At 41.8% G+C, this 23860-nt stretch overlaps 2 annotated features.

Annotated features, from left to right (window-relative positions):
* Window positions 2587-3786: an enhancer, noted in NCBI's record as "CDK7 strongly-dependent group 2 enhancer chr18:54877070-54878269 (GRCh37/hg19 assembly coordinates)". NCBI's record gives its function as "activates an origin of replication core promoter dependent on BRD2, BRD4, P300/CBP, MED14 and CDK7 cofactors, with strong dependence on CDK7, by STARR-seq in HCT116 cells {active_cell/tissue: HCT116}" and the evidence as "EXISTENCE:reporter gene assay evidence [ECO:0000049][PMID:35650434]".
* Window positions 2715-2824: an enhancer, noted in NCBI's record as "active region_13368". NCBI's record gives its function as "activates an Ori minimal core promoter by ATAC-STARR-seq in GM12878 lymphoblastoid cells {active_cell/tissue: GM12878}" and the evidence as "EXISTENCE:reporter gene assay evidence [ECO:0000049][PMID:35858748]".

Below are 23860 nucleotides of genomic sequence, written 5' to 3' on the forward strand. Positions count from 1 at the left end.
CACCTGGTTGGTGAGAAGTTTAAGAGAGGCCAAATACACAAACTACTTGGCAGAATGCTTGGAATGCAGTAAGTGCCTTAGCTCCTGGGGAGGAGAGAAGTAGTAGGAAAGAAGCAAAGAGGAATTGGAGAAGGGCTTCCTGGGCTAATTTATCACAAACTTAACCATTTCTTCACCCTTACTGCTAGAGTTCCTTCTCTATCTCTCTTTCTCCATTTGTAGCAGCTCTGATATCCACATTTGAAAAAGGTTCTGATTCCCCTGAGTGACAGTTTCTTCACTTCTCTTTTTTGTCAGCCTCTCTTCATGGAGAATCTAATTTTTCCACTCAGAATTTCTGATGAAGATGAAGGCAGAGAGAGGGCTGAGCATGTCATGGGGACATTGTTGTCAGCCGCCCTGATGTTGGATGTTGTGGGAATGGAGTGACTGCCTCCCAAACCATCTACCTGCTGTTGACACAATGCAAGAAGTCCAAAGGCCTTTTTCCCAGGCTGACCCAGCACCTTGTGCTGCTGAGCTTATTCAAATGACCATTGCATTAAATATCACCGTGGAGACAGTTAATGCAGTAATATTACCAGCTGGGAATATGCCTTACAGTGGAAGCCAAGGGAGGCAAGAGGAGGTAGTGCGGAAATGGTTTATGTGAAAGACGTCTTCCCTTTACACAAAAATGTCCAAAAACTATTAATTTTGGGCAGCAGCAAGGAAGAAATACATGAAAGGAAAATTGATTTCTATTTAAATGGTATGTTTTCATCACCTTTCTTCAGAGCCTAAGCATTCATCTTTGAGTACCTGTGCTAATTGATTTTGAATGCAATTCAACGCGATCGCTGCACAATAATAAATCTCAGGGCAAAGAGGATAAAGGAGGGAACTTGAGCCAAACAGGAAGTGGTGTGACACGTGGCATCTAAAAGGTGTGTCTGTGTCATCCTGGGGTGAGCTCAGGAGCAGTACTGATGGGAGGCGGGATAGTCTAGGCAGCAGGAGCTGCTTGTTTGTATAACAACCTTGAACTTGAACTCTTCCAGCTGATCCAGGGAGTGTCAACTGCTGGGCCACCGCCTGGGGCTCAGGCGACCTGTCCCCAGGCATGCTGTGGTCCTCTCTGAAGGAGGAAGGCACTCTTGTGGCTACTCTTCCATTCTTCCTTGTAGTACCTGTTGCCTTCTTTCTTTTCCAGCTGCCCCCCCACCACTGCCCACAGCCCTGGTCTTCCTGGCAAGCCTCTTTCTTATTACCCATTCTCCCTAAAGTTCATGCCCATTCCTCCATGGGCTGTCACTTTGGAAGGCAAGTGGCTGAGCTGTTCCCTGGAAGATATAACAGAACCATGCTAGAGACCCTGAACTCTACCAGTGATGGAGGAATGAATCTCAAAATAAGAGTCCAGGCTCCATGGCTGGCACATGGGGCAAGTAGAACCTTTGGGATTCATTTGGGTAACCCCCTAAGGGTGCCTGACCACCTCTGCAAGGGCCATGCCATTGTTCATCCCCAGGAGAGGTGAGGCAGGAAGGGGTTGGCAGGAGGGTGAGGGTGCAAGATTGGATAGGAAGAAAAGGAGTCTACGAGGGCTCTTTGCTACTCAGTGGCCATGTGACAGTTTTAATGTTTCTTTCTTGAGCAGAAATATAGCAGATAAAAAAAGAACCACAAATCTGTCAAAATGCCCTGTGCAAAGAAGCTGAACAATCACAAAAAAGTGTTGTGCCCATTCCTGAAAATATTTTCACCACGTGGTGAAAATAATTCATGGGAACTTGGTCCAATCTCCATGCATCGGGTCAGCAGGTGACTCAACTCAGAAGGAAAGAGCAGATGGTGTGGTGAGTGTGCAGGAGCCCGAGAAAAGCTGAGATTTGGAGACCAGTGGTGGTCTGGTGGGCTTGTGCAGTAGTTAGCCATACTGTTTGTACAGGACCAGCTCCAATTCGCAACAGGATCAAATCTTTATACCGACCCACTTGGCATTCCTGGAAGTTTGATGTGGCAGGGCTACTCTTGAGCAGGACTGAACCGTCTCCAAGCGTTTTTCTCTAAATGATTGAGATCAGGAGTTTATTTCTGAGAATGAACAGTCCTATCCAAGATGTATCTACTTAACCCAGAAGCAACATGTATATGAGATCAAAATACAAAGCCATTGCAGTCAGTTTGGGCATGAAGGCAGTTAATCCAAATTTCCAATGCACAGACAAATCATCCCAAGACAGACTGAATTATTCATGGACTTAATGGTTTATGTTTTGTACAGATATCACTTTATTTTTTATGGTAAGAAGTTTAGTTGCCATGTAAGTATATTGAAAATTAAAATAATTATTTCTGTTTACACGACATGAAATGAACTGGACCCTCATGTCCTACATCTCTCCCCATTGCTATCTCTTTCATTCATTCATTTATTTACAGTCTCTATCCTCTTGCAGTTTACCACTTGGTGGGGGAAAGCAAGCATTAAGCAGATAAGCATTTCTTCCTGTGTTGTGGGGCTACGATAAGAGAGATTTAAAGCAAAAAGGCCTGGCCCCTGGCACAGCCGAGTCAAGCTTTCATTTTCCCCCAGCTTGCCAAGATGCGGTCTCTGTTTCTGTCTCCCCACCTGCCAACCGCCCAGGTGGCCCATTGATTTCTGACATGCCGTGATGTAAAATGGCACATCGTGGTATCATTAGGTGCAATGCTGACAAAGGTAAAAGAAAACCCCTTCTGGCTCATGCTGAGAGTTCCTTCTCTCACACCCACCGCTCACTGTAGCCAGTTCCTGAATTGCATTTACAGCCGGGAGGATGCGGCAGCAAAGACACCCCACGGAGGGAGGAAGAGAAATGAAATTTCTCTCGGACCCATTGATCTCTCCTCTGAGCAATTTACTAGTCGGGGAGGTGGAGAAGCGGCAGGAGAAGCGCTTAGGGCTGCTCTTTATCTCACTTCTGAGGGCTGGGGACATCCCTAAGTGAATCTGCAACTCACTGAGGCCACACTCCCTGCTGACAGTCCCTTGGTGACAAACCCCTGACTTTGCAGGACCAAAACCAAGAAAACAGAGGTAGGCAATAATTTGGAATAGGAAAGAGCGGGCATTAACAAGCTAGACCTTAAGACATCCCTTAGGTGATTAAGGGGCTAAGCTGGCAGGATGTGTGCAGGTCCCCCTTCTGAAAGCTGTGCGGGAGCTGGGACTGCTCAGTCAGCTCCGCCTCCAGCTCAGGGAAAAATGCACAATGACTCATCTTCCTCCTAGCCAGGACCAGCAGGCGCCGAGGGAGTGTCTGCAAGCCTTTCCTCCGCACTGGGCAAAGTGTAGCTTCTCATGATGAAGAAAATCAACCTTCTTTGTGCCAAGAGCGAGTCCTGTGACATTCTTTTGCCCCAGGGTCTGTACTATGAGGGGAGTCCTGAACCCTGAGTTCAGAATTTTATCCTGCCTACAATCCTATGCGAAAATCTTCAGCCTTGGTATTTAGCATTCCATAAAATACCAAACCTGAGAGGGAATTTGGGGGTTTTCCCATGATTACCTGAGGGCAGGGCAGACACTGCACAAAGTGTCACTGAGTTCAATAGACTTCTGTGAGTGATCAGGACTAGATATCACAGAGTGAAAGAGAGGACTTTGACCTTTGACTTTTCCTTGGGTACTCCACCCCAATCTCAGTGCCTTCCCCTCCTCACTCTTCCCTGGCCTGTGCAAAGGCTCCAGGCTTTTTCTGTGGTTTCCACCACACCCTCCTGGAGCCTGATCTTGGATTTCTCACTTGCAACCCACCAGGCAACCGTGTAAGGGAAAATCAGCAGTTTCACTGCAGTCTGAGCTGGCACAAAATACAGGTCACAAAGACCCTGCTAATAAAACAGGATGTGGTAAAGATGCTGGCCAAAGCCCACCAAAACCAAGATGGTGATGAAAGTGACCTCTGGTCACCCTCACTGCCAACCTCCTATCTTATCCTGTGACTTAGAATGCCTAATCTCCTGGGAATGCAGTCCAGTAGGTCTCAGCCTTATTTCACCCAGCCCCTATACAAGATGGAGTCACACTGGTTCAAAATGCTTCTGACACAATTAGTATCTTTTTTCTTTAGTGCAATCATATCTTCAATATAATCAAATTCAGTTACTTCAACAGATGTTCACTGGGCATCTATTATATGCTAGACTGTGGGATGACAGCCATAAACGAGCTGACCTAGTCCTTGCCCTCATGGAACAATTGGTATAGAAGATGAAAGGAGATATGGACAAGGAAACAGAACATTCTAATGCAGTATGATAAAGGTGTTGGCATGGGAAGCTGAAAATGCAGAAGGACTTCCGAGCTCCTGAGAGAGGCCAGTGAGCAAGAAGTGATGTCCAAGCTAAAACCAATAAAATGAGCTGGAGTTAGTTAGCAGGCAGAGGAGATAGGGGAGAAAGGAAGGCGCTGCAGGAAGAAGGAAGAACATGTGCAAAGGATCAGAGGCTGGGCATAGGATGAGGAACTGCAGAAAGTTTAGGATGGCTGGAGCTTGGATGATGGATGATGGGGGAAACAGGGAAAGATGAGGCTGGATAAATCAGAAGGGTGCAAAAACAAAGGGTGTTGCAAGCCTGACAGAGGGTTGGGCTTCATCTCTCTTAAGCACACAGAGAAACCAGTGGGAAGTTTTATAATAAGGGAGTGATAGACTCACAGCACAGTTTGAGAAAGATCTTTCTTGTTGCAATAGGGAGGTGGAGTTAGCAGTGGGTGGACAAGCAGGGAGATCTGTCTGAAAGCTCCTGCAAAGCTCCCACCAGGGAGCATCAGAGGGAATGAAGAAAAGAAGGGCCATGGAAAAGCGATTGAGAAGGAAAGTTGATGTTCTCACTGAGACCTGAAATAGGGAACCCAAGAAAAGAGAATCTGTAGTGAGACAAAGTCTTTCAGTTTTAAGGCTGGATGCTGAAGTACCATGCTCCTTCATCATGCCAGGCACAGAGGAGATTTCACAGACACCAAGCTCCTTGTTGTTGGGTGATGTGTCTTGTTCTCTAAGCACCTGGCACACAATAGGTGGTGAAAAGTGGTTTTAGATGTATTCATGAATGAATGCATTAATAAATAAATTTAACACAAGAGTCTCTAACTTCAAAGTTCTTACAGTCTTATCGTAAGACAAGATTATCCTACATCAAACAATTAAAGAACTGCACAAGATAGAACGTAATTAAGTTCTAAATCATCTAGTTTAGGTTATAAGTGCTGGAGTTTCAGAGAAGGGAAAGATCAATGTGGGCTGGAGGAGTTAAGAATGGCTTAAATATAATTCCCTGACATTACAGTACCGTGGAAACAACAGTGCTGGGCTTAAAATGAAGAGATGAAAGCCAACACATTGAGCCTTATTTACCCAGTGTCGTGCAGCAGACCACCATGATTTTGGGGGACTGAATTAGTAACGTTGGCCTTAGGGGTTAATGCTGTTCAGGTGGACTTATTTGTGTACAATTAATAATGGGTTCTGACATAATTAATTCTCATCATATTCTTTTTGTAATGATTTTTTCTATCAGCATGAACATTCACGGAACGTAAATTGAACCATTTTAAAGTATACAATTTGGTGGCATTTAGTACATTTATATTGTTGCGCAACTAACACATTTAGATCCAAAACATTTCCGTCACTTCAAAAGAAAACCTGTTCATTGTATTCTTTTTTCTTCCTTTTTTTTGAGACAGGGTCTTGCTTTGTTGCCCAGACTAGAGTACAGTGGTGTGATCATGGCTCACAGCAGCCTCGACTTCCCGTGCTCAAGTGATCTTCCCACCTCAGCCTCTCAAGTAGCTGGGACTACAGGTGTGAACCACTATATCTGGCTAATTTTTGTATTTTTTGTAGACACAGGCTCTCATCATGTGCTCACGCTGGGTGTTCATTGTGTTCTTGAATTAACAATGCAATACAGTAGACTGAAAAGAACACTGGAGTATGGTACCTTAAGTTCTCCTCTGAGGTCTACAACTGAGTAGTTCAAATTTGACTCTGAGCAGGTCACTAATGATTTTTGCGCCTCAGTTCCATCATTTGTAAAATGGGAGAGTTTGACTAAGATGATACCCAAGATCTCTTCTAGCTTTACAACCCTGTAATTCTAAATACAGTAGATTTATTGATTGACTGTAATATGCAAAAAAAATGATAGTGCATGTGTGTGCGTGTTACAGGGCAGAGATGGGAGGAGGCAGGGACTCCCTGAGACTAAGATGAAACTGAATGATGCATGGGTGAGTGTGGAGTTGAGGGAGATTATCTGGTTGGCTACCCCATTTTTTTTTTTTACTTGGATAGGTTGGTGTTTAACTCCTCATTGAACCCTGGTTGAATTCAGCAATTATGAAGTCTTGCTCCAGAGTTGCCTTGGATACTACCATTAAGCTGTATTTGCATCCTGAATAATTTGATGTGTACTTCCAAGGCTAAATGTTTCTTTTTCTTCCTGCCCCAAATCTTTAGTTACAACTTCTGTTCACCAATTTCTTCTTGCACACTTCATGGAAAGAACTTGTTGCCAGTTCTCTAAATAGCCTCAAAAGTGTACATAGGCCTTATAGTCCGAGAAAATACGTGGAATCTCAAAACTGATAGAGCAATAAGGAAATAATTATGTGCTCGGTCTCCTGGGTTTATAGGGAGACTGCTATAAGGGAGACTGCTATAGGGAGATTGCCACTATTTGGAATTAGTTCCTTGCTATGACGGTTAATTTTATGTGTCCACTTATCTGGGCTAAGGGATGCTCAGATAGCTGGTAAAACGTTATTTTGGGGTTTGTTTGTGAGGGTGTTCCCAGAAGAGATTAACATTTGAATTGGTTAACTGAGTAAAGAAGATCACTCTCACCAATGTGGGTGAACATCATCCAATCTGCTGAGAGCCTGAATAGAACAAAACAGTGGGGGAAGAGTGAATCTGCTGTCTTGGCTTGAGGAGAGACATCTGTCTTCTCCTGCCCTCAAACATGGGTGATCCTGGTCCTTGAGCTCTCAGACAAATACTGGGAGTTATGCCATCAGGCTCCCCCATTCTCAGGCCTTCACACTTAGACTGAATTACATCACCTGCTTTCCTTATCAGCTTACAGACAGTGGACTGTGGGATTTCTCAGCCTCCATAATCACGTAAGCCAATTCCTATAATAAAACTCTTCTTATAGATCTCGTTATATATAGCCTATTGGTTCTGTTTCTCTGGAAAACGCTGACTAATGTGCTTGCCAAAATCTGAAGCTCAAGACTGGAGCTCAGGATCGGATTGCTTACATACATGCAAAAAGACGCAGAAGACAGACCTAAGATATTGGGCATAGGAGCCACAGGGTAATTGCAAGGATTGTCAAAATCATAAGGGCAAAATGCACAATGAAAAGACAGAATAAATTCTTATGTAGCTTGTTAATTGGACAGATTCTGGTGTAAGGCTGACTCGGTTTCATTTCCAGTTCATCCACTTAATAGCTCAGTGATTTAAGGCAATTTACTTAACCTGGTTGGTGTCAGTCAGCCTAGGCTAAATTGTGCTGCAGTAACAAATAACCCCCAAATCTCAGTAGCATAAATAAACAAATGAAAGCTTAATTTCCCACTCACAGTCCCCAAGTTTAACTTTAATTAAAAAAAATTTATTGTACTGAAAAATATCAGTGCAAAAAGGTGCAAAAGTCTTAAGTGAATGAATGATCAAAAATGAATTATCAAAAAGTTAGTATCGGCAACAGAGCGAGACTCCGTCACAAAAAAAAAAAAAAAAAAAAAAACTTAGTATATACCAGGCTGAGGAAATAGCCCCTATCTGGGACATGTTGATCTTGTAGCAGAATGAAAAACTAAATGACAGAATCACATAATCACATAATGACTCAAAGTTTCTGCTCTGAAGTAGATTACATCACTGCTGCTCATAATTTATTGACCAAAGCAAGTTATGCAGCAAAGCCAGGCATCAGAAAGGTGGGGAAGCACAGCAAAGGCTTCAGAGCAAGACAAGCTACTACAGATGTATCCTGTTCTTCCATCTGCAAAATGGGAATTATAACAGTATTTGCCTCAAGTTTGTAATGAGATTCAATTAGATGATATTTGTAATGGGCCTGGCACATGGTAAGTACTAAAAAGATGGTAGCTATTATTATGATCTTGCCCACATGTATCTGTAAATGGTTCCATTAAAATATTTTTATTATGAAAGTAATCATAGAAAAATAGAAAGTACACATAAGCAAAAAGAATTAGAATCACCTTTAGTCTGACCATCCAGAGAAAACTATAGTATTTTGAAGTGTATCTTAAGACTTGACACACATACATTACATACACAGATGCATGTTACAGAAATGAAATATTGCACAAGCTGTGTTATAATCTTTTAAAATTAAACATTACATTGTAAACATCTCCATGATAATAAAAGTATATTCAATTTATCATTTTAGCTTGTTTCATGGTATTACATTCTTTATATATATATAAACATCATATATATGATGTTTTCCTTCAAAAACACAATCTACTTACTGTTGGGGATATTTTTATGTTTGATATTGCTTCCAGCACTCACTCTGGTTAACAGTGGTTTGTTACTTACTTCCATGCATCTTTCCAGACTTGTTTGCTTGGTTTTCTCCTTAGGTTAAAATCTGAGAAGTGGAATTTCCGGGTATGCTCCTCTCCAAGACTTCTGATGCAAATCGTCAAAATGTCCTCCGGAAATTCACCTATTTATAAATCTCACCAGCAGGGCAGCTTTCACTCAATATGATCATTTTTTTACATTTTTTTCCCTATCTTATAATCCATAGGTGGCAAATGATATTCAATTGCTACTTTAATTGACATTTCTTTGATAACTAATGAAGAAGAATTTTGCATAGGTTTATTGGCCACTTCTAGTTTTTCTCTTGTGAGTACAACTAGTTTTCAAATATACATGGGAACTATTGTGATTTTCTTTAAAAATCACACAAAGTCATTTAAAATATATAGTCACAAATATGAAATTATACCAAGTAATTATTGTGAAAATTGTTAGATTCAAAAATGACATTGTAGTTATGTAAGAAATTGTCTGTATTCCTAAAGATTCCTGCTGGTGTGTGTAGGGGTGAAGTAATCTGATACATGGATATACCAGAAAAAAAAAAAAAAACAGATGAAGCGAACACTGGTAATTGTTGAATCTGAATGAATCTAGATAGAGTTCATTGTACTGGTCTCTCTAACTAAAAAAAAATATATTATTGTACTGAAAAATATCAGTGCAAAAAGGTGCAAAAATCTTAAGTGAATGAAGACCAAAAATGAATTATCAAAAAGTTAACTCAGCCAGGTGCAGTGGCTCACACCTGCAATCCCAACACTTTGGGAGGCTGAGGTGGATTGCTTAAGACTACAAGTTCAAGACCAGCCTGGGCAACATGGTGAAACCCCGTCTCTACTGAAAATACAAAAATTAACTGGACATGCGCCTGTAGTCCTAGCTACTCTGGAGGCTGAGATGGTAGGCTCACTTGAGCCTGGGAGGTCAAGGCTGCAGTGAGCTATGATTGTGCCACTGCACTCCAACCTGGGCTACAGAGTGAGACCCTGTGTCTTAAAAAAAATAAAAAATAAAAAAAGTGAACTCACTATATAACAGTAATCCAGGATAAAAAATAGAACTTTACTGACATCTCGGGAGCCCCTATCAAACCTCTTGCCCAAAAATAACCATCATAGATTAGTATTGCCCGTTTGAACCTTACATAATGGAAGTATACAATATGAATTTTTTTGTGTCTGGCTTCTTTCTGTCAACGTAATGTATGGATAAATAAATAAATTTTTTAAAGCTGTCTTTTGATGAGCAGAAGTTCTAAATTTTAATGTAGTCCAATTTATTAAACTTTTATTTTATAGCTAGTGCTCTTTGCATCCTGTTTAAATAATCATACCTACCCTGAAATCATGAAGCTATTTTTCTGTGTTATATTCTGGAAGTTTTTTTGTTTCACGTTTAGGCCAATCATCTGTCTGAAATTCACTTCTTTTTTTTTTTTTTTTTGGTTTTTTTTTTTTTTTGAGACGGAGTCTCACTGTTGCCCAGGCTGGATTGCAGTGGCGCCATCTCGGCTCACTGCAAGCTCCGCCTCCCGGGTTCACGGCATTCTCCTGCCTCAGCCTCCCGCGTAGCTGGGAATGCAGGCGCCCGCCACCTCGCCCGGTGAAATTCACTTCTTTTGCTTAATGTCAAGATTCAAGTTTTTCCCCTTATGGATAGCCTGCACTGTTTATTTTAAAAACCTGTCTTTTTTTCTCTGGCCTGCAGTGCCGTCTTTGTAAAAATGCAGTGTCTGTGTAAGTGTGATTTTGTTTCTGAACTTCCTCTTCAGTTGCTTTGGTCTATTCGTCTATCCTTTCGCCAGTTACACACTGTCTTCATTCCTGTAGCTTTGTAAGTCTTGATGTCTAGCAATAAAAGTTTTCCATCTCATTTTTCTTCTTTAAGTGTTCACTCCTACAAGGGATGGTATATATTTGGTTCACCCTTACTTTAAGGGGTTAGCCCACTGGGTCTCCACTATAAGCATAAAGTGTGTTTAGTAATTTCCATTTCTTTGCTATGCCCTGAACCCCAGATTTCATCCTCCAGCCTTGCACGCTCCACCTACCTTCTTTGGCTCTGTCATATACTCTTATGGTCAGTCTAGCCCCTCAGTGCCAGGCCCATCTGTCTAGGCTTCCTTCTTCTGCTGGTTCTTGACATCCTGACTCTTCAAGGCCCTGTTCAAACTGATATATTTTAAGTCATGTCCAGCTTCTCTAGTTCTGAGTGAAAGGTTTAGTCTGAATTATGGCAGAGTACTGCCATTACTGAAGGCAAAACTCCCTATCCTGTGGAATGATTAATTATATTTAAAAATATTTATAATAAAATTGAAAGATGTTTAAAACACGAAAGAAAAATGCTCTCAAATTCACATTACATAGCTTCTGAATTAGTAGATACCAAACATGACCACTCACTAAGGAAGTGCTACGAAAAGGTTTTGCTGCTGGCAGATGTCCTCAGACAGGTGATGCCAGAGGCTCACTGGTCTAGAGTAGAGAGCCGCTGAAACCAATTTGGAAGACTGGAGCCACTTCTGGAGGTGGTGCCACCTGCACAGGCACTGGCGACATTCAACCAGCCCAGAGAAGTGACGCCACCTACTTAGAACTAAAGAGAGAAAAACCGACTGAATTTTTCACTTGTCAAGGGACTTCTTGGAGCTGTGTCAGAAGCACCTTATATAGACATGCATGTCACTGTGAGGTCTTTGATGTTCTTATGAGTAGGCTTTGGTATGCAGAAAAGACTATTTCAGGCTTAGTTTTAGAAATAAGATTTTCAATATCTTAGTAACGAATGCCAACATTTAATGAGTGCTTATTATATGGCAGGAACTATTCTAAGAGGTTACACCTATTAACTTATTTAGCATGTTGTTAATGTCAGCATTCCCATTTTACAGGTGAGGATGCTGAGGCACAGCCAGGTCAATTTCCCGGTCCAGGATCATACAACAATTAAACAGAAATGCTAGGTTTTAAACCCTGGTAGTTTGGCCGCAGCAACCAAGCTCTCAACCACTGTATTCTGTTGTTTCTCCTTAAAGAGCCAAATTTAAACCAATTTAAGCTTTTACATTCAGCTTATACATTTCATTATTCTTTGTGTAAGTCTACAAAATTGTAACAACCACTTTAAAGGAGACTTTGGTTCATGGATGATTCCATGTACAAACTTGGTTAATTAAACTCATTTAAACATTTTAAACTACAGTTATAAATGTAATATGTTCAATTTCCTTTTAAAGTGCTTGTTTGACTGACAAAATCCTCCTAAAACTTAAGTTCTTATCAATGTAATATGTTAAACTTATGAATATGATGAACCCTAAAGTCTCCTGTATTCTAACCCTGTAAGTTAATTTTGTAAGATTTCCACTTAAAATCACACACTTAAGGAATCACTCAGTTCACACTTTAAACTAATGTCATGAGACTAAACTGTTACTAAGAAGGTAAATTTTCTTAAACATTACAAACTCAAGATACAAAAATGCGGCTAACACGGTGAAACCCCATCTCTACTAAAAATACAAAAAATTAGCCGGGCGTGGTGGCGGGCGCCTGTAGTCCCAGCTACTCGGGAGGCTGAGGCAGGGGAACGGCGTGAAGCCAGGAGGCGGAGCTTACAGTGAGCCGAGATCCCGCCATTGCACTCCAGCCTGGGCAAAAGAGCGAGACTCCCGTCTCAAAAAAAAAAAAAAAATAGATACAAAAATGCACACAATTTCTTTGTGCAAAAATATCAATGTTATCAGTTTGAATCATTTAAACATCTGTATTTTTAATTTAAAAATTTTCTGGGGTTAAAACATATTTGCACTGTAAGCAAACAATGTTATTCTAAACAAATTTGGGGATTACTTTTCTAAATTTTTTTTGTTTTTTCCTTTAGATGAGGTTTCTTAAATGACCAGGAATGTTAATCATAATTTGACCAGATTCTTATCGGCAATTTAGCCAGCATTTAGGCTAAAGCCACTTTTACTGTCACAACGTCATGATTTTCAAAATTCAAAGAGTGAAATGGTCCTCACACCACCACCCACGCCCCTGTTCCTGGGTTATGATGTTAGATAATTTTTTAAGTCATACAGTGTCTATTACTTCTCCTCAGGTAGCCACATACTTAATTGGGTTCAATAATCTATTTACCACTCCATTCCATTCTAATTTATTTTTTATTCTTCTTCTCTGTTAGGACTATGCAACTTTTATGGATATTAATATAATAACTGATTGAATTTTGCATGTCTCCTGTGGCTTTGTCTGGCTCTAATTACAACTTCTCCTGGCAATATGCACATACACACACCCCAAGTATTTTTATGGCTACTTAGTGTCATAGACAATCTATTGGTCAAATTTGAATATCCAAGAGAATCACAAATCTAAACATTTACTTAGGTGTGTTATAAGAGGGATAAATTAGAACATGCACACAATTTAGATGTGAAGGTGCTGGCTAAACAAACATGCATTTGATTGAAGATTTGAATGAACATTTCAGACCAGCTTGGCCATTACAAATCAGTTGGTGGCACAATGCTCACCTCTATCCCCATCCCACCCAGAAAACATTTCCTTTTTACTTTAAGACTTTAAAAAACAATGTGAGGGATTCAGAAGTTCTTTCTCTTTCCTCCAGACCCAATACTTAAGCCCCTTGTACTTGAATTATCAAAAAGCCTCGGTAATTGCTTGAACATGTTAATTTATCCTGCAACCCTGCTGGCTTCATCTGACTGTATTTAAAGGATTTAAGGGTGACAGGGAACAGCTGGAGAGAGATGTTTTGTCTGTGAATGTGGAGTCTGAGCTCAGAGATCGGTGGGCTGGGACTCAAGTTCGCTTGGAGCATTGAAATAGAGTGGCTCTCTGCATGCTGGTATTGAGGCTTGCCTTGCTTTTTCTCCTTTCTCTCCTCCCTCCTCCTGGAGCTCAGTTTCTCCCTACCACCCTCCCTTTTGCTCCCTCACCTATTCTCTCTCAATCCAGAGACTATAACCTTGCCAGAGAGTGGGAGATCGCCACCCCTGCCCCCAAGCTTATTGTTGCTACAATTTGAGCCAGGAGCGGCTTGAATGCATGTATTGATAATCACAGCTGGGACTGCATAAGCAAAATAAAACCAGTAAAATACGAGCTAGTGGACAGTCAGAGACCATGGAAAACCCATCGATTGTTGCTGCAGCTTCTTTCCATACGGCAGAATGAATGCAGAAAAGCTGAGCTCTGGGTAATTCTAGCAAACAATGTGCTGTAGAGCGTTATTTGTAAGTCCCAAAAATCAAAGTGGAACGCTAGCTCCCCATAGAACATGTTTCGTTAGTGTGGAACAAAGGGCTGTTGCTGGCTGGGTACAGCATTTTCCATTTTGCAGCATAGTGAGGGGTGGGGGAGGGGAGCAACAGGTACAATGGAAGCTCAGGGAGGCTGTGCTGACCAAGTCCCTGCATCAGAGAGGGCTCCAGACAGAGGACAGCCACCCCTTCCTTAGGGTAGGGCCTGTCCTTACGGAGGTCAAAGATGCCAGCTCCGGGACCAACTAGCTGTGGGACCTTCAGCAGATGCTCATCCCAGGGGCCTCAGTTTCCTTCCTGCTTCAATTGCAGGGTTTTTGTGAGGATAAAATATGACACAGTGATGTAAAAGCATCTGTTTTGCATGCATTTATATTATTTTAGAGATAAGCCCCGCATCATCATGGGGCAGAAGTATGTATCAGGGACAACCTGGTCAGATCCCCAGGGAAACCGATGGCATGCTCAATGGGGGAACCAGGAGAGGAGTTCTTACAAAGTATGAATAGGGCAAAGGGAAACCAGAAAAGGATGCCAAACCCCCAGGGTTGGCACAGCAGAGAGATGTTCCATCCCTGAGAGCTAAAGGAGGAAGCAGGTTGTTAAGTCTTGGAGAAAGCTGCAGCTACAGCTGCAGAAGAGGGCTGTCCCACAAAAGCTGTGGCCCTTACTAGGAGAACTTGGCTGCCCCAAAGAGTGGCCCATGCAAGGAGGAAGCAGTGGTAAGAGGGTGATTGCCCTGACCTCACTCTTTCCTCCCACCCTCTGATCTCCTGGCAGAGACTTGCATTGGCCCAACCCAACGGGAGCTAGAGGACAAAGAAGCCCACCCTAGACCTTTAGGTCAGCCTCCCAGGCCCAGAGCAGCTGAAAAAGGGTAGAGAGTGGTTGTGGAAATGTCTGGCACAGTGCCCCTGCTCTGTGTCCCCAGGCCCCCTAGGTATTTGCTGTACTCTTGGGATGCTTATCCACTTATATTCCGTTTGTCTGTATTAGACCCTTGGAAGCAGGGGCTGCACCTACTCCAGTGGGCTCAACACATGTTGGAAGGTTTGGGGCTGCTGGTCTCGGCTCAAGAACAATGATGTGGTGCAGGCATCACTGGGATTCTCTTGGCCTTTCCTTTATTTTTGTCACCTCATGGTGGCATGATCCTGGTACCTTATTGTCCTGTCCTCAGTGCCTAACATGGTCCCTGGAACCTGGAGGGTACTCAATAAATTAGGAGTGACCAAAGGCATGAATTCATGATGCCTTGACTGCCAACTAAAGCTGGTAAAGAGGGAGATGTTGCCTTTGCCTGTGAGCACAGCCTTCTATAGATGCTGCCTGAGCACAGACCACACACTCAGGAACCTCCAAGAGGCTCAACATGTGTGCTCTGACATCTCGGTCGTCATGTTGTCCTACCATGCCCTTTGTGTCCCTCAACCGCACCTGTACCATGATACCTCATCTCCATGTGGTCTGCCCTTGGGTCTCCCATATAGTCACCCTCTGAAAGCTGGTGCCATTCCTGTCCATTCTTGTCATTCTCATACCCTTCTTACAGATGAGAAACAATTTCAATATTCTTGTATTCTAGACCAGCAAATTCTTCATTATCCTCTTACAGAGAAAACAACCACAGGCTTCAGCTTGGGGAAAAAATAACTAAAAAATAAAAGTCTACTTCCATGGTGTCCCACCCCCAACCTTCTCCACCATCCTACAGCCAGCTGCTCAGAACACAGGCCTTTGCCTGAAATCTTGTTTCTTTAAAAAGAAAAAAGAAAAAAGAAAAAACAAGAAGAAGGAAGGAAGAGAAAGAGAAAGAAGGGAGTAGAAGAGAAGAAGAAAAGAGAGGAGGAAGAGAAAAAAGAGGAAGAAAGAAGGAGGAGGAAGATACTAGAAGAAATCATGCCCCCAGATTCCAAGGATTGATCCAGAGGAGCCCAAATACGTGCCCCCACTTGAATTTCTTTGGCTACTGGCCCACAGGAGCCAGACGACTCTGCAGGGCAGGAGGCGGAGTCAAAGACAGACTAACTCCCTTACTCCTCTTCCAGGCTTTTCCAGCAAAATGTAAGCTCCAATCAGTTGTGGATACTGGGCCTTCTCTCAAAACAGCAACTCACAGAATTCTCCCAGGGGAAGGATGATAGCATAGAGCCTAATACATCACCAGATGGCATTTGTCTTCAGGAACAAACATGCTTTCTTTGACCCACAAGGCCTTTTCAACAATGGAATGAGTTACTATGTTAATGAGTTACAGAATCACCCATGAGTAACAAACCCCAAATAGGAATGTTTCAATAAGATAAAAATGTATTTCTATCTCACATTAAATCGAGGCAAGTATAGCCCTTCGTGTACAGCATCAGGGACCCAGGCCTCTGCTGTCTTGGTAGTCTGCCATTCCTGGTGTGTTCATTCTGTCCATATATTCCAAAATGGTCCCCAGCATGTCTGTACAACTGCTAGTAGGACTGGGGGAAGGAAGGCAAGGCTACACCCTTCCTTTTAAGGGCAAGACTCAGGAATGTGCACACATTACTTTCTCTCTCATTCTTTTGGCCATAATTTAGTCACATGGCAACCATTGGCTGCAAGGGAGACTGGGAAATACAGTCTTTATTCTCAGTGGCCTTGTAGCTCAACTAAAAATTATTTCACTCTGGAAGGGAAAGGAAATATTTTTAGGGACAATTTATAGTCCATCCTACAATGGGCAAAATATAAAAACTGGTATATTTCATGTAAAAACACAGATTCTAAACTTCTTTAAGAGTTGGAGGATCTGACAATATTGGGAGATAGTTCTACTGAGTAAGAATCAGCTGGACTGAGGAGAAGCTGAGCCCTTTCCAGTTGTGCAGGTTTCCCCGACTTTCTATCAGGAACCAAGAAGAGAGTGGAACTGAAAGATATCCTCCAGTATCACTTAGGGGCAGCAGAGCATGAAAAGTGATGATCTGGATGAAATCCATCCCTAAGAGATGAATCCTTTTCTAGCGCCCTCTCCTGCACTGCACACTGTACTCTTACCACCACCCCCACAATCATCACTGTAAGAACAGCAGTGTTCAGAATCAACATTAAATCGTAGAATTCTTTCATTCATTTATTCAGCACACATTATCTGAGCACCTGCTATGCACTGGTCCTTGTACAGGGCCTAAGGAGACAAAGATGAATAAGGCACTGATCTTGTCTTCAAAGAGCTTTTATTTTATTGAAACATTTGGGTTTGTTTTTCTTCTTGTTTTTGGACCCACGGGGTATTTTTAAAATTAAATTAGTTACTACATTAATACATGTGTATTAATCCCCCAATGTGAGTGCAACACCATAATAGGAGGTGTCAGGAAGTACTTATGTAAGAGCCAGTCCCTGCTGACAAACTAGAGGATAAATGAATACAACAGAAAAAATCTGTTGTGAAGGGTTTTGCTGTGGGGCCTTTTGGGGAAGTTCTTCCTACCGTACTTGTTCCCACTCTCTCAAATGTATATTTTCCTCTTTTTTTTTGCTTTTTTTTTTGTTTTGTTTTGTTTTGTTTTGAGATGGAGTCTCGCTCTGTTGCCCAGGCTAGAGTGCAGTGGCATGATCTCGGCTCACTGCAAGCTATGCCTCCTGGGTTCATGCCATTCTCCTGCCTCAGCCTCCCAAGTAGCTGGGACTACTGGCGCCCACCACCACGCCCGGCTAATTTTTTGTATTTTTAGTAGAGACGGGGTTTCATCGTGTTAGCCAGGATGGTCTCGATCTCCTGACCTCGTGATCCACCCGCCTCGGCCTCCCAAAGTGCTGGGATTACAGGCGTGAGCCACCGCGCCCGGCCTCAAATGTGTATTTTCAGTACAGAGGGCAGCATGCTGTTTTATGGCTAAGAAACCATGTTTGTTCCACAAACATGTAGCATGTTTCTTCTCTTAAAGAAGACAGAAGAAGACAACATTTCCCAGGCAGTTCCATTGGTTTCCATTTGTGGCTGAATCATTGTCATTGGTGTTAGATGGTCGAGGCACATCAGTCTGTGGATCACTACATGACAAGCATTTTGGGGCTGGAACTTCAATTTTGGCTCTATCATCAGATTAAATCTACATCTGATCCATAAGATTCTTGTGTTCTGGGACACACCTGGGCTCACCAGACCAGGTTCCTGACCCCATGTCCAGGGCACTGAGCCCCATTTCACAGCTGCCTCCTGGAGGGCTTAGTCCTGAATGTGGAAGCAAAAGGCTGATACGGCCAAAGTCTTTACCTTTAAGGGAATTTGACATAATCAGAACAGAAGTCATTTTCCCCAAGATTTGTCTTTAAAATAGCTGACAGACTTTAGAAAATGACTCAAATAAGAAATGATACTTCAAGGTACCTAAGAAAAGGTTGTCTTCAACTTCTCCCCAATCTCAAAAGACTGATGTTTGGCCATGAACATCAGTTTGGGACTGGTGGAAGATAAGTTGCAGCCAAGCAGACTGTTGGCCATGCGGGCAGCTGATGGGCAGACCCCTGTCCAGTGGGGCCTGATGGCAGAGAGGCAGATTCATTGGTGGGAGCAAATGGTTGCCATGGACACGGCTAGTTTAGTCCATGGCTATCTTTGTGATCTTGGATCTAGTGCAAGAGGAACGATATGGATCAGACCTGTTCTGATTCTCTTGGCATGGACTTGCTAAGATGGAAAAATGGCTGCCTCCCTAGTCTTACCCACCCCATCCCTATCTTGTTATTTCCCATGAATCTTCTACTATTCAGTCACTCTAGATAGCAGTTATGGGCACTACTGTGGGGTCACGTGGATCTGAGTTTCAATCTCAGCTTTACAACAAAAGCACTGGGAGACCTTGGAGATACTACTTAATGTTTCTAAAGTACAGCTGACTTCTCTTTAAAATGAAGATAATGATGATTAACAACATAAGATTCTTCAGAAAATCATTCTTTCATGTAACAGATATTTTTGAGCTCCTATCATGTTCTAGGGGCTATAGTGTTTCGAGTACTGGGAAAACTGTCACAGATTCGGTTGCAATCTTAGTCTCTGATAAAACAGACTTTAAACCAACAAAGATCAAAAGAGACAAAGAAGGCCATTACATAATGGTAAAGGGATCAATTTAACAAGAAGAGCTAACTGTCCTAAATATATATGTACCCAATACAGGAACACCCAGATTCATAAAGCTAGTCCTTAGAGACCTACAAAGAGACTTAGACTCCCACACAATAATAATGCGAGACTCTAACACCCCACTGTCAATATTAGAAAGATCAACAAAACAGAAGGCTAACAAAGATATCCAGGACCTGAACTCAGCTCTGCAACAAGCAGACCTAATAGACATCTACAAAACTCTCCACCCCAAATTAACAGAATATACATTCTTCGCAGCACCACATCTCACTTATTCTCAAACTGACCACGTAATTGGAAGTAAATCACTTCTCAGCAAATGTAAAATAACAGAAATTATAACAAACTATCTCTCAGACCACAGTGCAATCAAATTAGAACTCAGGATTAAGAAACTCACTCAAAACTGCACAACTACATGGAAACTGAACAACTTGCTCCTGAATGACTACTGGGTAAATAACAAAATGAAGGCAAAAATAAAGATGTTCCTTGAAATCAATGAGAACAAAGACACAACATACCAGAATCTCTGGGACACATTTAAAGCAGTGTGTAGAGGGAAATTTATAGCACTAAATGCCCACAAGAGAAAGCAGGAAAGATCTAAAATTGACACCCTAACATCACAATTAAAAGAACTAGAGAAACAAGAGCAAACAAATTGAAAAGCTAGCAGAAGGCAAGAAATAACTAAGACCAGAGCAGAACTGAAGGAGACAGAGACACAAAGAAACCTTCAAAAAAATCAAGGAATCCAGGAGGTGGTTTTTTGAAAAGATCAACAAAATTGATAGACCTCTAATAAGACTAATAAAGAAGAAAAGAGAGAAGAATCAAATAGATGCAATAAAAAATGTTAAAGGGGATATCACCACTGATCCCACAGAAATACAAACTACCATCACAGAATACTATAAACACCTCTACACAAATAAACTAGAAAATCTAGAAGAAATGGATAAATTCCTGGACACATACACCCTCCCAAGACTAAACCAGGGAGAGGGTGAATCTCTGAATAGACCAATAACAGGCTCTGAAATTAAAGCAATAATTAATAGCCTACCAACCAAAAGAAGTCCAGGACCAGATGGATTCACAGCCAAATTCTACCAGAGGTACAAAGAGGAGCTGCTACCATTCCTTCTGAAACTTTTCCAAACAATAGAAAAAGAGGGAATCATCCCTAACTCATTTTATGAGGCCAGCATCATCCTGATACCAAAGCCTGGCAGAGACACAACAAAAAAAGAGGATTTTAGACCAATATACCTGAAGAACATTGATGCAAAAATCCTCGATAAAATACTGGCAAACTAAATCCAGCAGCACATCAAAAAGCTTATCCACCATGATCAAGTCGGCTTCATCCCTGGGATGCAAGGCTGGTTCAACATAAGCAAATCAATAAATGTAATCCCTCACATAAACAGAACCAATGACAAAAACCACATGTTTATTTCAATAGATGCAGAAAAGGCCTTCAACAAAATTCAACAGCCCTTCATGCTAAAAACTCTCAATAAACTAGGTATTGATGGAACGTATCTCTAAATAATAAGAGCTATTTATGAAAAACCCACAGCCAATATCATACCGAATGGGCAAAAACTGGAAGCATTCCCTTTGAAAACCGGCACGAGACAAGGATGCCCTCTCTCACCACTCTTATTCAACATAGTATTGGAAGTTCTGGCCAGGGCAATCAGGCAAGAGAAAGAAATAAAGAGTATTCAATCAGGAAATGAGGAAGTCAGATTGTCCCTGTTTGCAGATGACATGATTGTATATTTAGAAAACCCCATCGTCTCAGCCCAAAATCTCCTTAAGCTGATAAGCAACTTCAGCAAAGTCTCAGGATACAAAATCAATGTGCAAAAATCACAAGCATTCCTATACACCATTAACAGACAAACAGAGAGCCAAATCATGAGTGAACTCCCATTCGCAATTGCTACAAAGAGAATAAAATACCTAGGAATCCAACTTACAAGGGATGTGAAGGACCTCTTCAAGGAGAACTACAAACCACTGCTGAACGAAATAAAAGAGGACACAAACAAATGGAAGAACATTCCATGCTCATGGATAGAAAGAATCAATATCGTGAAAATGCCCATACTGCTCAAAGTAATTTATAGATTCAATGCCATCCCCATCAAGCTACCAATGTCTTTCTTCACAGAATTGGAAAAATCTAAAGTTCATATGGAACCAAAAAAGAGCCTGCATTGCCAAGACAATCCTAAACAAAAAGAACAAAGCTGGAGGCATCACGTTACCTGACTTCAAACTATATTACAAGGCTACAGTAACCAAAACAGCATGATACTGGTACCAAAACAGAGATATAGACCAATGACACAGAACAGAGCCCTCAGAAATAATACCACACATCTACAACCATCCGATCTTTGACAAACCTGACAAAAACAAGAAATGGGGAAATGATTCCCTGTTTAATAAATGGTGCTGGGAAAACTGGCTAGCCATGTGTAGAAAGCTGAAACGGGATCCCTTCCTTACACCCATACAAAAATTAATGCAAGATGAATTAAAGACTTAAATGTTAGACCTAAAACCATAAAAACCCTAGAAGAAAACATAGGCAGTACCATTCAGGACCTAGGCATGGGCAAGGACTTCATGACTAAAACACCAAAAGCAATGGCAACAAAAGCCAAAATAGAGACATAGAATCTAATTAAACTAAAGAGCTTCTGCACAGCAAAAGAAACTACCATCAGAGTGAACAGGCAACCTACAGAATAGGAGAAAATTTTTGCAATCTACCCGTCTGACAAAGGGCTAATATCCAGAATCTACAAAGGACTGAAACAATTTACAAGAAAAAAACAAACAACTCCATCAAAAAGTGGGCAAAGGATATGAACAGACACTTCTCAAAAGAAGACATGTATGTAGCCAACAGACACATGAAAAAATGCTCGTCATCACTGATCATCAGAGAAATGCAAATCAAAACCACAATGAGATACCATCTCACACCAGTTAGAATGGCGATCATTAAAAAGTCAGCAAACAACAGATGCTGGAGAGGATGTGGAGAAATAGGAACACTTTCACACTGTTGATGGGAGTGTAAATTAGTTCAACCATTGTGGAAGACAGTGTGGCGATTCCTCAAGGATCTAGAACTAGAATTACCATTTGACCCAGCAATCCCATTACTGAGTATATACCCAAAGGATTATAAATCATGCTACTATAAAGACACATGCACACGTATGTTTATTGTGGCACTATTCACAATAGCAGAGACTTGGAATCGACCCAAATGTCCATCAATGATAGACTGGATTAAGCAAATGTGGCACATATACACCAGTGGAATACTATGCAGCCACAAAAAGGATGAATTCATGTATTTTGCAGGGACATGGATGAAGCTGGAAACCATCATTCTCAGCAAACTATCACAAGGACAGAAAACCAAACACTGCATGCTCTCACTAATAGGTGGGAATTGAACAATGAGATCACTTGGACACAGGGCGGGGAACATCACACACTGGGGCCTGTTGGGGAGTGGGGGAGCTGGAGAGGGATAGCATTAGGAGAAATACCTAATGTAAATGATGGGTTGAGGGGTGCAGCAAACCAACATGGCACATGTATACTTATGTATCAAACCTGCACGTTGTGCACATGTACCCTAGAACTTAAAGTATAATAATAATAATAATAATAATAATAATAATAAACTGTCAGATTCCTACTTTCATGCAATGCATAGTCTAGAGGATAAATGAGTGAATGCATGTAAACTGTTAAGCATGGTGCCTGAAATGTGGTTAGAATATAATTAAAACTGAAGCTAGCAGAAGTTTTCACTGTGCCCTAGGAACCTCAGACACTTCCTAGGGTTCAGAGAAGGGACCAAGGAGGAAGTCTTATTGTCCAAAGTCCCAAAGGTAAAGCATCCTGTCCTGTCACTCCCCCTCAGATTCTACTGACTCAATGTGTCACCTTCAAGAGTGTTTGCATCTTCCAAGATGTCTAGGAGTTGATAACGAACACAGACCAATGATACATACATTTTTAAAGAAAGAAAGAATTCGCTGCACTTTGCAGGGCTGAGATGGGAGGATCTCTTGGGCCCAGGAGTTTGAGACAAGCCTGGGCAACATGGTGAAACCCCACATTGCAAAAAAAAAAAAAAAAAAAAAAGTCTACAAAAAGACCCAAAAATTAGCTGGGCATGGTGGCATGTGCCTCTAGCCCCAACTACTCAGGAGGCAGAAGTAGGAGGATCACTTGAGCCTGGGACATGGAGGCTTCAGTGAGCCATGATTGCACCACTGCACTCCAGCCTGGGTGACAGAGTCAGGCCCTATCTCAAAAAGAAAAGAAAGAAAGAATGGATGGATGGATGGACAGATGGATGGACGGACAGATGGACAAACAGATGGATGGAAGCATATGCATAAAACACCAATGATGAAACAGGCACTGAGATATTTGGGGAAGTAAGATATTTGGTGGAAGGAAGCCTCTGCAGTCCCCTCAGGTCACAATCAGAAAGATACCAACTCCCTCTGCCTTCACTTCATACTGCACCTGCCTTAAAGCCTTCTTATTCCAGAAAGAATACAAGGCAACATTCCTCCCTCAGCCATCAGGGAAGTTAGATTGCTCTCTCCATCCTATGACTAACTGGGAAGTCATCCTATGCCTGAATGGGAAGGCAAAGCCAATGTGGTGCAGCGTTTTCATTGCATTTGGGGCATTTGCATGCTAAATTGGGTCATAAACTATTGAAAATGGAAAAGTACTCAGAAGTTA

This window comes from Homo sapiens, chromosome 18 (assembly GCF_000001405.40).
Source record: "Homo sapiens chromosome 18, GRCh38.p14 Primary Assembly".
NCBI lineage: Eukaryota > Metazoa > Chordata > Mammalia > Primates > Hominidae > Homo > Homo sapiens.